This window comes from Homo sapiens, chromosome 4, assembly GCF_000001405.40.
Source record: "Homo sapiens chromosome 4, GRCh38.p14 Primary Assembly".
Taxonomy (NCBI): domain Eukaryota; kingdom Metazoa; phylum Chordata; class Mammalia; order Primates; family Hominidae; genus Homo; species Homo sapiens.
Genome location: NC_000004.12, coordinates 143,452,284 through 143,468,483, shown reverse-complemented (window position 1 = coordinate 143,468,483; position 16,200 = coordinate 143,452,284). Strand labels below are relative to the sequence as shown.

Sequence of the window (16,200 nt, the reverse complement as noted above, 5' to 3'; positions counted from 1 at the left end):
CCCAGCACTTTGGGAAGCCAAGATGGGTGGATCACGAGGTCAGGAGTTCAAGACCAGCCTGGCCAAGATGCTGAAATCCCATCTCTACTAAAAATACAAAAATTAGCCTGACATGGTGGCACGCGCCTGTAATCCCAGCTACTTGGGAGGCTGAGGCAGGAGAATGGCTTGAACCCGGGTGGCAGAGGTTGCAGTGAGCCAAGATCGTGCCACTGCACTGCAGCCTGGGCAACAGAGCAAGACTCCGTCCAAAAAAAAAAAAAAAAAAAAAAAAAGAATTCAAACTAATGCTTCCATGACAGATGAAATTCATAAAAAATAGGGACAGCAGATGCCTGTTTCATCTTAACATAGACAACCTGATTCTCCTGTCAACTTAAGCTTGACTGTCTCTCAACCTCTGAGAACATGAATCAATGTTTACTTTGAGAGCTAACAAGAAATGTTTTTGGAAAAGTTATACTTCAAGAATGACAAACTACATAAGCTGATGCCTTTTCATTCCTAAAATTCAACAAGATATAGATATTTAAATAAAATTATCAATGCACTGCTGCGCTCACTAGAAAGTGAAATGTCTAAGGTATAAGAGAAGTAGAGGGAGTGGTGAGCTTCTAAATGGTAAACGTGGTGTTGGCTTTAGGATGAATGTCAATCTCAAAAATGCAATCAGGAGGCCCTGCATTGGAGGTGATGCTGAAACTGAGAATATCTCATCAAGCTAGGGACCCCTGAAGGGAACTGATGTGGTCCTAGGATGGTAGCACCTCCTGGTTCCTAGCAGAAGCAAATACAAATAGTTTATAGAAGAAATTTAGGTCCTCAGAAGATATGTTCAACAAAATGAGGTTGCAATAAAAATATATAAAACACACAAAGAAACAAACTGTAGAGAGTGTGAGATAGGAGAAACAATATACACAGATTCAGACCTCCAAGGACTTCAGATATTGAAAAAGGAGCCAGTAAATTGGCCAGACATATTTGATAAAGACCCAAACAGAATTTCATTTTAGAAATGGAAAAGCAATATTTGAATAGTGACTGAGACTTTCCCAGAATTGATAAAAAATATGAATCCAAAAAGAAGGCAGCACTTCTAAGCAAGATAAATAAAAAGGAATCTATGTCTAGACGTATTGTAGTGAACCTGTAGAATACCAAAGATACAGAAATGACCTTAAACTCATCCAGTCAGAAAAGACATTATCTACAAGGGAATTACAATTAGACTGACAGCAATTTTTCCATAGGAATAGAAGCAAGACAGTAGTGGGATAGTATCTTCCATGGGCTGAGAGAAAATTATTGTTGATCAAGAACTGTAAACTCAAGAAAACTGTGTTTCCAAGAGTGAAGGCAAAATAAAGACATTTAAGTTATACAAAAACTGAAAAAAATTACTACCAATGACCTCCACTAAAGGCACTTCTAAAGGGTATATTTCAGGTGGAGGGAAAATTATTGCAGAAGGAAGGTCTGAGAAATAGGAAGGAATGACAAAGAAGCTGGTCAACATGTAGGAAAATGTAAATAAACATTGTTATATAATAAGAGCAGTAATAATACTGTCTAATTAGTGGGCTTAACAAAAAGACAACATTAAAATTTTGGACAAAGATAGCACAGAATTTGAGCATTTTAAGGAGAGTAAAGACACTAGACTGGTTAACTTTAGAATTCATTAAATAACAGCCAGATGCAGTGGCTCCTGCCTGTAATCCCAGCACTTTTGGAGGGCTGAGGTGGGTGGATCACTTGAGGTCAGGAGTTCAAGACCATTCTGGCCAACATGGTGAAACCGTGTCTCTACTAAAAATACAAAAATTAGCCAGGAGTGGTGGCGCGCATCTGTAATCCCAGCTATTTGGGAGGCTGAGGCAGGAGAATCATTTGGACCTGGGAAGCGGAGGTTGCAGTGAGCCAAGATCACACTACTGCACTCCAGCCTGGGCAACAGAGCAAGACTCTGTCTCAAAAAAAAAAAAAAAAAAAAAAAAAAAGAATTTGTTAAATAACTATTTCAATGGTAACCACTAAAAAAGTAGAAAGTATAAAATTTCTAACCATCAGAAAGGAAAAAATAATCAGTCTCCATAACTATGTTATTTTTGTTTTATGAGATAGCATCAAGTAGCAGACCAGACTAAATTTATATTAAACATAACTTAATAAAATTATCCCAAAGGAAATAATTCTTCAGGTTTGAAGTGTGAACTAACTGTATACAAAGAAGAGACATGTCACATGTCACTCACCTTACGTGGTGGTGTGGATTTCCCAGAATCTAAGTCGAGATCTAAGTATTCCACCTGTTTGTCTCCTTTGGGCTTGATCATAGGGCTGCTTCCTCCATCAAGACTGTTACTGCCAAAGAGATTCTGAAAGTATTAGACAACAAAATCAACGGTCAGACATTCACCAGACATACCACTCGTACTGTTGAACATCTACGGAAGCCTAAATATTTGCTTTCAAGAGGACATAGCTTAAAAAGTTAAACAACCTTTTAGGATAGAAAGAAAATAAGTAATATTTAAAAAACTGATTAAAGCCTAGCTTAGAGCAAGCTAAACGTAGTTTCAAAAGTTAAACTTGGTTCACACTAAGATTGAGACATCAGGAGATACTTAGCTATGATAGCCCAACTTGAACATTATTAAAATTATGTCTGTACTCAATTATGCTTTACAGGATCTTTATATTCCTTGCTTTCAAGTTAAATTTTAAAAAAACTTTCTACGTTTTATCTAAAGGCTTTCACACTAAAATTTGTTTGACTCCATTGGCTAAGTGTATTTTGTTTCAATCATCTGGATTTTTTACCACCTAATTTCCTTAGCCTGATCTTTTCCTTCCTGAAAGGCATACATTCTAAAGAACGTATTTAAGAGAGAAGGAAAATTACTACCTAAGGAAGGCCTGAAATACAAGAAATGATAAAGAAGCTGCTAAACATGCAGAAAAACGTAAATAAGCATAGTTTATATAATAAGAGCAATAATACTACTAACTTCTGGGTTTAAAAAGAATTAAAATTTTGGACAAAAATAGTGCTAAGATTTTAAAGAGAGCAGAGTGAAGACAACTCTGGAATTTGTAAATAACCATTTCAGATGATTTGTACAGTAGGACTACTCTCTAAAAAAAGGGAAAGAAGGTAGGAAGATAGATGACAGCGATAAACAGCAGGAACAAAAAACTTGAGGCAGAAAAATGAAAAATAGGCACTTGAAGATCAATGCTAAATAGAAAGGAAAAGCTGGCATGAACCTAAGTCCCTATATATTCCCTCCACTCTAATTACAACAGGGTTCTATTATACATGTGCTCAAACAAGTGACTTGTTTCCATGCCTTACTCCTTTTAACCCCATCTAGAAATGTTCTTGGCTTCTCATACGCAAGACTGTGTATTTCTCATTAGGGAATTTCATCCTTGTGCACTGTTGATATTAATGTTCATATATTATCTCATACTTTTAAAGAAAATCATAATGATTTAACAAAGTTAAAAATTTATACATGTTATGATGAATAAAACAATTTGAAAACTGCATACATCTGGTGGTTCTGTTGATTCTTTTTATATTGCTACTTCATTTCTTTTTGCTTAGGTTAAACAGAAAAAACTGTGCCTTAGGGAAAGGATACTTCTAGGAAAATATTGAGACTATTCTCTCATTTCGTAGCAGGGCTGCTAATAGCTGGTATGGAACCTTTTTGCAAATTATTAAAAGGTGCTTCTTGCACTGGGGTGAGACAGCTCTGTGCTGTGGGCGACTGCAGCTTGGTGAGCAGCACATAGCCTGAATTTCATATAATCAGGTATGCAGTATGTTTATTCAGTAAACAACCTGTACAACTAAATGTAATATTCCTACTTGAAGAAACAGATTTTTTAAACCAAATTTATCAATTACTACAAATAAAACATTAAAAAAATATATAAAATGGCTAGGCGCGGTGGCTCAGGCCTGTAATCCCAGCACTTTGGGAGGCTGAGGCGGGCGGACCACCTGAGGTCAGGAGTTTGAGACCAGCCTGGCCAACATGGTGAAACCCCGTCTCTACTAAAAACTACAAAAACTAGCCAGGTGTGGTGGTGGGCACCTGTAATCCCAGCTACTTGGGAGGCTGAGGCAGGATAATCGCTTGAACCCGGAGGCGGAGGTTGCAGTGAGCCAAGATCGCACCACTGCACTCCAGCCTGGGCAACAGAGGGAAACTCTGTCTGAAAAAATTAAAAAATCAAAAAATCAAAAATAACATGTAGAGCACAAAAAATATAAGCAAGTTTTGGTCCTCAATATAAATAGCAATCCCTCTCTTCTTTCTAATTCATGGAGAAACTGGAATCATCATGAAATTTTTTATCTGAATGACTCTATATATCATTGTCACATAAAATCAGCCATGAGTGTGTGAAAAGTTCTATATTCAAATGTGATCAATGAAAGACCCATACCCTCCATTTCTCTGATTAGAAATATCTAGAATTGTTCACAGTATTACAAGGCTATAAAAGAAATGCATAAATTTGTAAGACCTGCATGCATAATACCAATAAGTTGCTCCTAAACAGAATTTCTCAGGGTGGCTAGTTAACCTATTTTATGTCTGTTATTACTAGAACTGAATGTTTTTCCATCTTTAAGTATGGTTAACATTTGTGTGTCTACAAGGAAGTCTATTTGCTCTTGATTTAATCTCCACTGGAACAGCCTGTCTGTATTCTAGCCTTTCACCCAGTATTTTCCCAAAACAGTTTAGAGAAACTCTAAGATTCTATAAGGTATTATAAGTGTTCTTTGAATTAAATAACAAACCAGTAGTGTGAGATTTTTTTTTTTTTTTTTTTTGAGATGGAGTCTTGCTTTGTTGCCTGGGCTGCAGGGCAGTGGCTTGATCTCGGCTCACTGCAATCTCTGTCTCCTGGGCTCAAGCAATTCTCCTGCCTCAGCCTCCCGAGTAACTGGGATTACAGGCGCCTGCCACCACGCCCGGCTAATTTTTGTATTTTTAATAGAGACGGGGTTTATCCATGTTGGCCAGGCTGGTCTCGCACTACTGACCTCAGGTGATCTGCCTGCCTCGGCCTCCTTAAAGTGCTGGGATTACAGGTGTGAGCCACTATGCCCGGCCTAGATTTTTAAAAAATTCTTTAAAAATTATGTAAAATCATTTAACATATTTTTGTTGTTATTATCACATAACAGTATGTATGCCTTTAGTTATGGTTTACCATCATTTGAATTTCAGGTGTCACATTCAGAATTCACTTGATAATGCATGATTTTTGATCCAAAATTAAAGAAGTTTGTTAAATATTGCTATAATTCTCATATTCTTTTCTAAGGGAGAGTTGAATGGACTATGATGAGTCCTTGTATTTGGCAGCATGAGGATATGGAATTGGCATTGTTGACTTTTCTATTGTACTTGGTAGATAGGTATGTCCTCCTGGGTCATTTTTGCTTTTTTCTAATACATAGGACCTAAGTACTTCATAAATTCATCACAGGCCAGGTGCAGTGGCTCACGCCTGTAATCCCAGCACTCTGGGAAGCCAAGGCAGGCAGATCATTTGAGGTCGGGAGTTTGAGACCATCCTGCGCAACATGATGAAACCCTGTCTCTACCAAAAACACAAAAATTAGTCGTGTGTGGTGGCGCAAACCTGTAATCCCAGCTACTCGAGAGGCTGAGTCAGGAGAATCATTTGAAACCCAGGAGGTGGAGGCTGCAGTGAGTTGAGATCGCGCTACTGCATTCCAGCCTAGGTGACAGAAAGAGAATCTGTCTCCAAATAAAAAAAAAAAGAAATTCACCACATTGTGTTTATTTAGACACCTCTATTGGTGGCAAGTAAAAGCACCTTTCTGGCTTACTGTCATTAGGTGTAAAAAAAAAAAATTGTATTTTGATTTCCTTTGATTTCTGATTGTAATGCTCTTCTTTTTCATCTTTTCCCTTCATCTAACACCCATGACAAATCACATTTTTAAACTTTCCTATTATATGGGACTTTCCAAAATTTTTATGGCTATTTACTATTTTGGGCAAAAAGACACACTCTTTAGTACCTCAGAAAATACTCTAATTACTTTACGATAAGAAAACAGTTCACTCAACTACCCAAAGTTGAAAATAGGTGACAATATCTACTCTGACCGAGAATTTAGGATTTAGAGTTTTACTAGAGTCAACTTACTATACTGAGGAAAACTAATTAACTTAAATAATAATAATAGAACTCCACTCAAATTGAAAAATAGTGAATACAAAAGCAAAAGTGTCTAAAAATTGCCCTGCCTTGAAAAATCAGTGAAAACATTATTGATATATTGATTATATTATTTTTGAATACTTTATAAATTTGATATTTAAAAATTTTTATAGATGAGGTCTCGCTATGTTGCCCAGGCTAGGTGTGAACTAGGCTCAAGAGATCCTCCTGCTTCAGCCTCCTGAGTAGCTGGGACTACAGGCACATGCCACTGTGCCTGGCTAAATTTGGTAATATTTTAAAGTTAATTAATTTAAGCACAAAATCAAGTTTTTCATATCACTGAATTATGTTTCCTGACAATATATAGTTTTAAGAAAGCTGGTTCTGCCTAAAGTCTATTAAGGATGAAAAACCAATTCATTGACAGAATTGGGCTTTATATTTTATACCTCTAAATAGGGCTGTTTTAAATAATATAGGGCCACTAAAGTGTTACTCATTCTAAATTTTGACATCAGGTATTTGCTTATCCTGGAAGATATGGTCTGATTGTCCCTCAATACCTGCTCTCCCCTCTCCCATATGCATGGGATTTTTAGGTGGGCCCACTGTTCCTCGGATCTAAGTCTATGTTTTCTAGCTCCTTTGTGTCTAAGTGTGGCCACACAGGCTAAGTTCTGGTTAATGGTTTCTATAAAGCAGTTTCGAGGTACTGTCCTTATGAGGCAGTTGGGCTGTACCCTTCTTTTTCTCTCTTTCCTCCACCTGGAGTTGGAATGTCACTCTGCTGGCTGGAGCATCATCTTGTCCAATGAGCATATGTGCCACACCCAAGGAAAGCAGACTGGAGAGCTGGAAAAGGTCTGAATCCCTGAAGACTCTATGGAACAGAGCTGCCACAACAGCCTTGGATTGACTCTCTCTAGACTTTTCCATGAGAAAGAAAGAAACTTCTCTCTTGAGTCACAAATATTTATTTTCTTTTACTCAGAGGGGAACTTAATCCTAATGGATATACTTATCAACTAAAATACAAATAACAAAGCAAACATTAAATCTGACTTAAGGAAAAGCTAAAGCAAAATATTTTTAAAAATTAAAATTGGTTTGTATTCTTAAACATTTGAAGTATTTTCTGGCAACTACCTGATTTATGAGGAACAAAATGCTCACTACCATTAGAAAATTCTCATGCTTTATGGTAGTATAGCCAACCTCAAACATGTTATGTTTATAAGAGGTCTTCTTTAATCTTTACACCTATCTAAAGGTATATTACTTACTTATAAGACCATTTCACCATTAGAGTGCTGTGACATGGCCTTAGAGAATTGCATCATAAAATGCTGCCCGTATATTTTCTTGAAGAGTATAAAAAATCAAGTATCTCTTAAATGACATATAACTGAAAACTTAATTTTTTTCTAATTAGAGACAGGGTGACATGTTGTGCAGGCTAGCCTCAAACTGCTGGACTCAAGGACTCAAGTGATCCTCCCACCTCAGCCTCCCAAATAGCTGAAACTACAGGGTTGTGCTGCTGTGCCAGGCAACTTTTTTTTTTTAACTCATTTACAGTTTACTTTCACCTTTTATTGGTTTTAGAGTTTATGACATTATTTTTAATAAGCTTTTTAAAAGTTGTCTTTTACTGCTTTTTCTTAAGTATATAAAGATACGAGGATAAAATTTATAGACAGAACAGTTCTAGCTTGAATGACTGAAAAGGGCTGCTCAGAAAGGGAAAAGTTAAAACTTTACATACTGGGTCTTCACTGGACAGGTTTGGGTTCATGGGAACATAATTCTCTTCACTGTCGTGTGAGTCACTGCTTGAAGTTGTGCTATGCACTGAATCTGGTCGGGGGGACATGGGAAACCTGGAAGAGCTAATTACAGAAATTATCATCACAAACATAAGCCTTGACAAAAATATCTAAAATTATTCCCCAAATAAAAATGAGAGACAGTCTGCATTCTTTCAGAAATATTCCCTTATGTTTATAATCATTCATTGTACACATTTATAATGATGTAATTTTTGTGTACAAACACATAACTAATATTTATAATTGTATTATAAAAGTGTATTTTGGACAGCAAAATATTTTGTGTAAAACAAAAAAACCACTGCCAGTGACTTGGTGATAAGTAGAAAGTTACAGATATAAAATGGAAGACTTAAGAATTTCTATTTTTTTAAAAACTATATACACACACACACACACGAAACATGAACATATGTTCAACATAGGTTTGTAACTTCATAAATTCCTCTCAATTCCCTATATACATTTAAATAAGTCTCGGTTAAATAATCTCCACAAGAGACTACCATATTTTCAAGATTAGTAGTCCTCAGTACTTTTTGGTTTCATAAACCTTTTACACTCTTAAAAATTATTGAGAATCCCAAGAAATTTTTGTTTACATGAGTTGTATCTATTAATTTTGCCATATTAGAGATGAAAATAGACATATTTTTAAAACGTAAGTAATACACAAATACACATTTCTATTGGGTGTCACAATGATCTCATCACTTATCATGTAGCCTCTGGAAAACTCCACTGTACACTCAGAAGGAGAAAAAATACAGAAAATAACATCTTAATATATTAATGAAAATGGTTTTGACTTCACAGAACCCCCAAAAAGGGGGCTCTTCAGATCATCCATTGAGAACCACTATTCCAGATATTTTCCATGATAATGAACAATTCTAGATAGTCACATTATTCATACAAACTACATATTTTAGACAAAGGACTTACTCTCGAGCAAAACTCCTAGTGATGGGAGATCTAACTGGGGCTTGTAATTCTTCCCATTCTGGCAAAGGTTTTATTTCTAAAGGCGCTGGCTTGACTGAAAAGAAAAAGAGAAAAAGAGATTTTTAGTATACAGAACTTTGGAAAACAAACAAGATTCTCTCTCTGTAACTCTATTTATATTTGATAGCCAGAGTAAACCTAAGACCACCTAGTTTCACATGTGAAATGAGGTCCATGAATGTTACATGATTTGCCCAAGGTTACATAGCTAAGTAATTAGTGGTAAAAGCTAAATCAGATGTTTCATGATTGTTACCTCAAAGCCTAAACCTCTATTACAACATGTTGCCTAAGTGCATATTTTATGAATATAAACTAAATGAGATAAAGAGTAATGTGACCCAGTTCCTCTATGGTTGCTTTATATGTTTCATTATTTCATAAATTATTTCACCAATTTCATACTCAATAAGAAAATTTAATCATCTATGTAAAATCATTCCTTTTCTTCAATATTGGAGTATATAACTATATATATAAAATGATGCATAGAAACTATTAAAAACACAACTTTGTTAAAACCCCAAACTGAAAAAATGTTCGAATCTTTTAAAATAATTCATGCACAGTCTGGAAACAAACAAAACGAAACAATATTTGTATCTTTAGATCCAAACTCCGCTCTGAAAAAAGGCCATAATTATTTTACTTCAAATTGTTAGTGTAATTTAAGCAACAAATCTCTTGCTAAATTATATACAATTAAGTAAATGCTAATAATAATTTTCATTTATAAGTGATCTTTATTTACCTCATATTGCAGTAGACAATTAAACCAATATATACCACAGAGTTCTTAGCCATTTTCTTAAAGTCAAGACTGAGATTTTTTCAGAAATTTACAGAGTGAGCAAAAGAACTGAAACAATACTATTTAATACTAGATATTTTAGGAGACTACCTAAACATGTTAGGTAAATATTTCAGTTATGTTTCATTCTGCCACTCTTAACAAAAAATTTCATCTTTGAGATTTATTTATAGTCTTTGTCCATGTATGTTATGGCATAGTTACCATTACACTATAAAATGAATGGTCATTTTAAAGGACCATACGCATTGAGGCTCATAAGTATTTTGTCAACTCACATATAATGAAGACCAAATTAACTTACTAATTTGAGCTGAAACCATTTTGCTTGTCTATATTCTTAAAATAGAAACATACAGAATATTCCGCTGAGTGAAAGTATTTCTTTAACTGTTAATGTTTTACTTTTTGACACCCAAAGGCTAATAGCAGTTTAGCTGTCAGTTTTTAAATAATGGCACAATTAATCCATGGAAATGATTCTTTATTCTGTCTCAGAACAGAACACATATACATAAAGACAGAAGACAACAGAAAATCACAAACAGTTCACAAACTGAAAGGATAAAATGTTGTCTACAAAGTTAAAAGAATAATGCAAAAGGACAAGTCTGAATATCACATATTATCAAATATTTAACATGCTGTTGTTAATGGCAGAGTAAGTAGACTCATTGTGTATTATGGGAAGCATTCACTTTAGAAATAATGTGCAGGAAAGTTTTATTTACAACAGCAGTAGTATTTAAGGTTCTTCTTTATTTTTAGAAAAAAAACAAAAAACATTACAAAATAAATTCCCAATGCCCCATACAGCATGCGGTGCTAAAGTACATACCCTTTCTTCTTGTAGCAAAGTCACCTATGGTTTGTGAATCAGTTCGCTCTAAACCATGGGGTTTGAGTCTTAAAATTTTAGGACTTTGACCTAATTGGTAAAAAGAAGACTCTCTTAATATAATGTTATTTATTAATTGGAAAATGGATTCTGTAAAAAAAAAAAAAAAAAAAAGCAACAGAGCCCTGTGCAAAAATGTTACATCTAAAAGCATGAACAAAAGTTTGTTGTGGAGAATATTTCAGTCTTGTTACATAAAATTCATGCTCATGCTCAGCACAATGGAAAAGAGGAATTTACATGCAACAATGTAAGCAGCAAGGAGGTATAAAAGATGGCAGGATTTTAGTGCGATAACCAGCCTGGTTAGTTGTTATCTTCATTTGGGGGAACAGAGGGAAAATATGTGCCATGTTAGTTTTTCTTCTAACATGTCTTAGAAAACTGGATCAAATAAAAAATTTGTAGAATACCCTAGTCAGATCTCAATTACATCTTTCTTTTCTTTGAAATCTGGTGTCTCATATGAAAGCCCGAAGGCCTACGTCCTTGTAATATTACTTTTCTAATTTGGTAGAGATGTTTTTAAAACCTTAATCTATTCCTGCACCTCCTGAACAAGACTCTTCTAGAGAAGCAAGTTGCCACTACTATATTTACTAATCTAAAACCAAAACAAGACCAGCATTTCTTTCCTCTGGATACTCACTGGTTGCCCAATGGCTTCATCTTGCAAGAATTACATGTTTAGATTCTGGTTCTACTGATTGCCTAGCTTCAGTTTAATTAAGTATATTTCTGAAAGCATAAATTCAGTTACCATCATCTTCCTTTCACTTAATGTCTGCCACATAAAAGCACTGCTGAAAAGCCTATGAAAGGGCATCCTTCCCATTAGAAGCCTGGATGCCAGAGCTGCAATATCATTTGAACCAGTGATTTAAGCTACTCCATTATTAGTGGCACTAAATTTTCTTTTTTCTTGGAATTTACAAAGTTGAGTTTACATCTATTAGGTGGCAGAATCAGAATTTGCTGGTTAAGTGCTGATATCTAGCACCTTACCTATCGAAATCTAAGTTTCTTAAAATATAATTCTGTAGAAGTTATAAAAAATAAAATTTCCTAACCAATTTTCTAAGTTACACAATACATTGAGTTTATTCAGAAATGAGGCAGCCTGAGTTTAAAAGGTAAATACTAAAATTTTGGGCAAGATCCACTCCCTACCCCTAAAATTCCCTAATCCAGGGCCCATACCCGCAGGACCCTTTTCTAAAGCAAAGGAAGATGACAACTTTTTTTTTTTTTTTGAGACGGAGTCTCTCTCAGTCGCCCAGGCTAGAGTGCAATGGCACAATCTTGGCTCACCGCAAGCTCTGCCTCCCAGGCTCATGCCATTCTCCTGCCTCAGCCTCCCAAGTAGCTGGGACTACAGGTGCCCGCCACCACGCCTGGCTAATTTTTTGTATTTTTAGTAGAGGTGGGGTTTCACCGTGTTAGCCAGGATGGTCTCGATCTCCTGACCTTGTGATCCACCCGCCTTGGCCTCCCAAAGTGCTGGGATTACAGGCGTAAGCCACCGCGCCCGGCTACGATGACAACTTTTTAAACTCCCCCAAATAGTGTGCTACCCTTCAAAAAAAATAAGAGGCAGAAGGTAAGTCTTAGTATTAAAATAATATGATTATTTTGGAGTGAAAGGCCCTTACAAATCTAGTTTCTTCATTTTATGAATGAGATTCATCCAAAGAAAGAAGGGGTTAAGTGATTTGTTCAGGTTACACTTTAACCGGAGGCAGAGTTGAGACTTCCTCTAGCCTGCCACTTGCTGGTGTGGCACTCCTGTTCTATACCACACTGTCTTACCTTTCCAGACCTTTAGGGATATAGAGAATCTTAGGAAATTTAGCTGGATACTATGTTGGAGCTGCTTGGAGTTCAGTTTTGAACTCTCCATTGCGGCTGGAGATCTTGCAGCACTCTGTGCCACACAGTCACAAACTAAGGAAACCAAGTAGAGAAAGGAAGAAATGTGCTCATTCCTACACTTATGTCTATAGTTGATACTACTCTGAATTTACAGATGTGGCTTGGGGGGACATCTACGTGAATGCCACAGAGAGCTGACACACCAGTGATACCAGGTTTAATTACAAAATGCTCTTAGAACTTCTTTTGGTTTGCTGCTCTTGACCTAGTATGTGAGATGCACTCCTCCTTGTCTGAAAGATCCGTTTTCATTAGCTCTCCAGCTCCCTCCTGATTTTTTTCACCATAGTTATCTCCCAGTGGTCACTCTTTGCATTTCTCAGCTTTGCTACCCCAGTATCTTATCTAAGTTTGTGGTTAAATAATCAAGGTCACATGACTGCTAAATCTTACCGAGTTATGGTTTCTCACTTTTTCTCTAGTTCCACCTTCCAACTGCCTGACAGGTTATCTCCAATTATCCTTCTGAAGCTGAAACTGATTGTTTCTCCTCTAAACCAATGCCATTTTCCACCTCCAAAGCCCTTAGTAATGACACCGTATCCTGGATCTTTAGGTACAAATTTTCAGAGTTATGTAGTCCATCCCCTTTAAGCATCTGCATTTGGTCTCAAAATGCTAATGATTTCCCTATATGACAACAAAAAGAGCTTTTAAAATGGGAAGGACTGAAACGGAAGGAGCAGGGAGTCAAGGTCAATGAGAAAGTTACCCGAGCCTGTGTGAATGCTGGTGTGATGACTATAATCCAGAATGATCACGGCCTATGAAAAATTACATGGAGGGTCTTTTAAAACCTATTCCTAGAGGAAAAGAAACAAGGCAAGAACAAACCTGTTTGGGAAGAAAAACTAATCATAATAGATTAAAAAAAAAAGAGAGAGAAACTCAGCTCCTATCTTGCTTTAGTCTTCTCTAGCTAGGAGAATGATTTTCAAACTGAAAAGGACAGAAGACAGACAACAGCCATTAAAGGCCCATTATGTGAGAAAGGTGTGTGAAAGTTGATTATACAAATTGGGTCATTCTTGTTGTAGCCAACTAAATTAGGGTTGAGGGCTGGGGGAAAAAGCACTCACCGCACAGAGCAACTGATCCAAGAATTAACATTTCCACAAACCCTGGTGCTGAAACAACCTGCTGCAACCCTAAGACCGGTTTTACCTAGCAGCTGCTGAAATGACTTGCCATGACTCTAAAACTGGTTTTACCTACCACCATCATTCACCAATCAGATCTTGCCAGCTCCAAAGAAATTCTCTAGTGCCAGTGAGCTTTCTTTCAAAACAATACTTAAGATTTCTCTTTCTAATAAAACTCCCAACCTCCTCTTTGTTATTCAGACATAACAAAGACCACTTGGTCTGTGTATCTCAAATTGCAATTCTTGCTTCCCAAATAAAATGCTAAGGATTCATCTGTATATTTTTATTCTGAGTTCAACAAGTACAACATAGTATCCAGCTACTTCAATTCAATCCAGCTACTTCTATTCAATGAATTACATTTCAAGATAGCAATGATTTTACAGACAAGAACACAGAATACATATGACTTATTTGGGGAAGTCATGGAGAATATGGAAATGCCATAAGAATACGGATGTGTTTACAACACATTCTTCTCTTGAATTGTGCTCTGCTCTGGCTAGACCATTCTGTTCTCTATTTCTCATGTACATCTTTAAAATTTCAGCCCTTTTCTACATTCTTTCACTATCAATATCCATCACTGCTTTATCAATCAGTGACTTTAATTTCTACACAAAGCTCAAGTTAGAATACATTCTCTAAGACTGCCCAGAGAAATGCCATTACACTTAATCATGAACATTTATTGAGGAGTTCTTAGGTACTAGACACTCTAAAACCTCCCAACAACCATGTAAGGAAGGTACAATTTAAAAGAAATTTTAATAATTTTATTACCAAGCTGGTTGGGGGCTTATAGAACTTAAGTAACTTGCCCAGAGTCACACAGATGATGACTGGTAGAGCTAGAATTTAAATTCTGTGAATCTAGAGAGAGGGTTCATGTTCTTAGTCCCATATCCTTATTTCAAACCTACAATCTTTACTATAGTTACTCTTAGAAGAGTATTTGTATTGCGTTGCTTTTGTATACAGTAAGTTCTCTCAACTAAATTTTAAGTGCTTCCAACATCAGAGATGTAAAATCGTTACATTTCTCTGAAGGGTTTACCTTCGTGACCAGTAATTTCTTGTTGGTTACAGTGAAAACATATATAAAATGTAAGTGATTGTAATGATGAAGACAATGTGGATTAAGTAATTTTTAAAGATGTCACATGTTCCAAGGAGACTCGTATGAGCCAAAAGCAGATGCATGAAATCAGTAAGCCTTTCACTCGAGTTCTTCTTCATCTTCATTACCTTTTTTTCTGGGGTGGGTACTAAAAGGGTACTCCTTTTCTAGGGTATTCCTTGGTTTTCGTATTAGAAAAATATGATATAATCATATTGAAATTTTTAAAAATACATTTATAAAATTTACGTGTATTTTCTACTCTGTGCAAAGCTTAAGGTTAATTTTAGGGCAGAAGCTAAAATGTGGAAATGTTGCACTAAATTGTACTATGTTACTTAGGCATTTTGTTAGCTGGATTTCTCTATGCTTCCAAACTCAATTTGACATTAATGTTCCAGACAGAAATGAAAATCATGCCCAAAGAATAGCCCTATATTACTTAAGCGGAAAGAAACGAGAAAAAAAGTCCAAGGTGTAAGGAGGCCTGTCTTAGCCTTTTCTCCTCCTTTACTGCCTGTATATAATAGGCCAATGTTTTACTGATTGCTGAAGAAAAGTGTGAAAATAGATAATAAGACATAAGAATACTAAAGCAAAGGCAAAAATAAACCAATTTTGGTGACTCTTAAATTCTGAGAATAAATAGAGAACTCATGTGAGCCTGAATGTTTAAGTCCAAGGCAGTTAGTTACAACTTGGCTTTTGCTAGACTTGGTTTGAACAAAGAGTGCAGCATAATTTAGTGAAGAGCACTGACTACTGGGGAAATTTCTATCTGTGCTTTAATCCTTAGGAGGGTTGTTAATATCAATCTCTTGATCATGTGATCTGCTCCCTAATTTGGAGTACGATTAGAGATGATCTAATTTTACATTTTAAAATAAGAAAATTTATGTGAAGAAAAGTCAACGGATTTGCCCAATGTCATTTAATGGGAGGGAGTGGTTGTTAATAGTATTACCAGAAATGAATTCTGGCTTTTTGGATTCTTGGTCTAATATTTTTCTAATATACTGCTGTATACTGTAACCTCATCACTGTAACTTATTTTAATGGTTTTTAAAAGAAAAAAATGAAAACACGCTAACTAGAAAATATATGCCATCTAGAAGAGCGTGCAGCATATGATTCATACCCTCCCTTTGCTTTGCTCTCTTACAGAGGAGGACACTTCTAAACTCTTAAAAGCTAAAGCCCTTCAAAAAAAATGAGACAATTTTAATTAT

General features: G+C 35.9%; 1 protein-coding gene across 16 annotated transcripts in view; it reads right to left on the bottom strand.

The window, feature by feature from the left end:
- GAB1 (GRB2 associated binding protein 1) overlaps positions 1-16,200 on the bottom strand; it is a 137,690-nt gene that overhangs the window by 6,082 nt on the left and 115,408 nt on the right. For 12 of the 16 annotated variants that reach the window (NM_207123.3, XM_047449969.1, XM_017007969.2 and 9 more), the window contains 4 exons: positions 10,715-10,804; positions 9,006-9,099; positions 7,997-8,120; positions 2,259-2,381 (listed from right to left, as the gene is read on the bottom strand). In NM_207123.3, coding sequence (NP_997006.1) covers positions 2,259-2,381; positions 7,997-8,120; positions 9,006-9,099; positions 10,715-10,804 — 431 coding nt within the window. The remainder of the gene's footprint in view (positions 1-2,258; positions 2,382-7,996; positions 8,121-9,005; positions 9,100-10,714; positions 10,805-16,200) is intronic. The other 4 variants (NM_002039.4, XM_047449973.1, XM_047449974.1 and 1 more) reach the window with 1 other exon arrangement.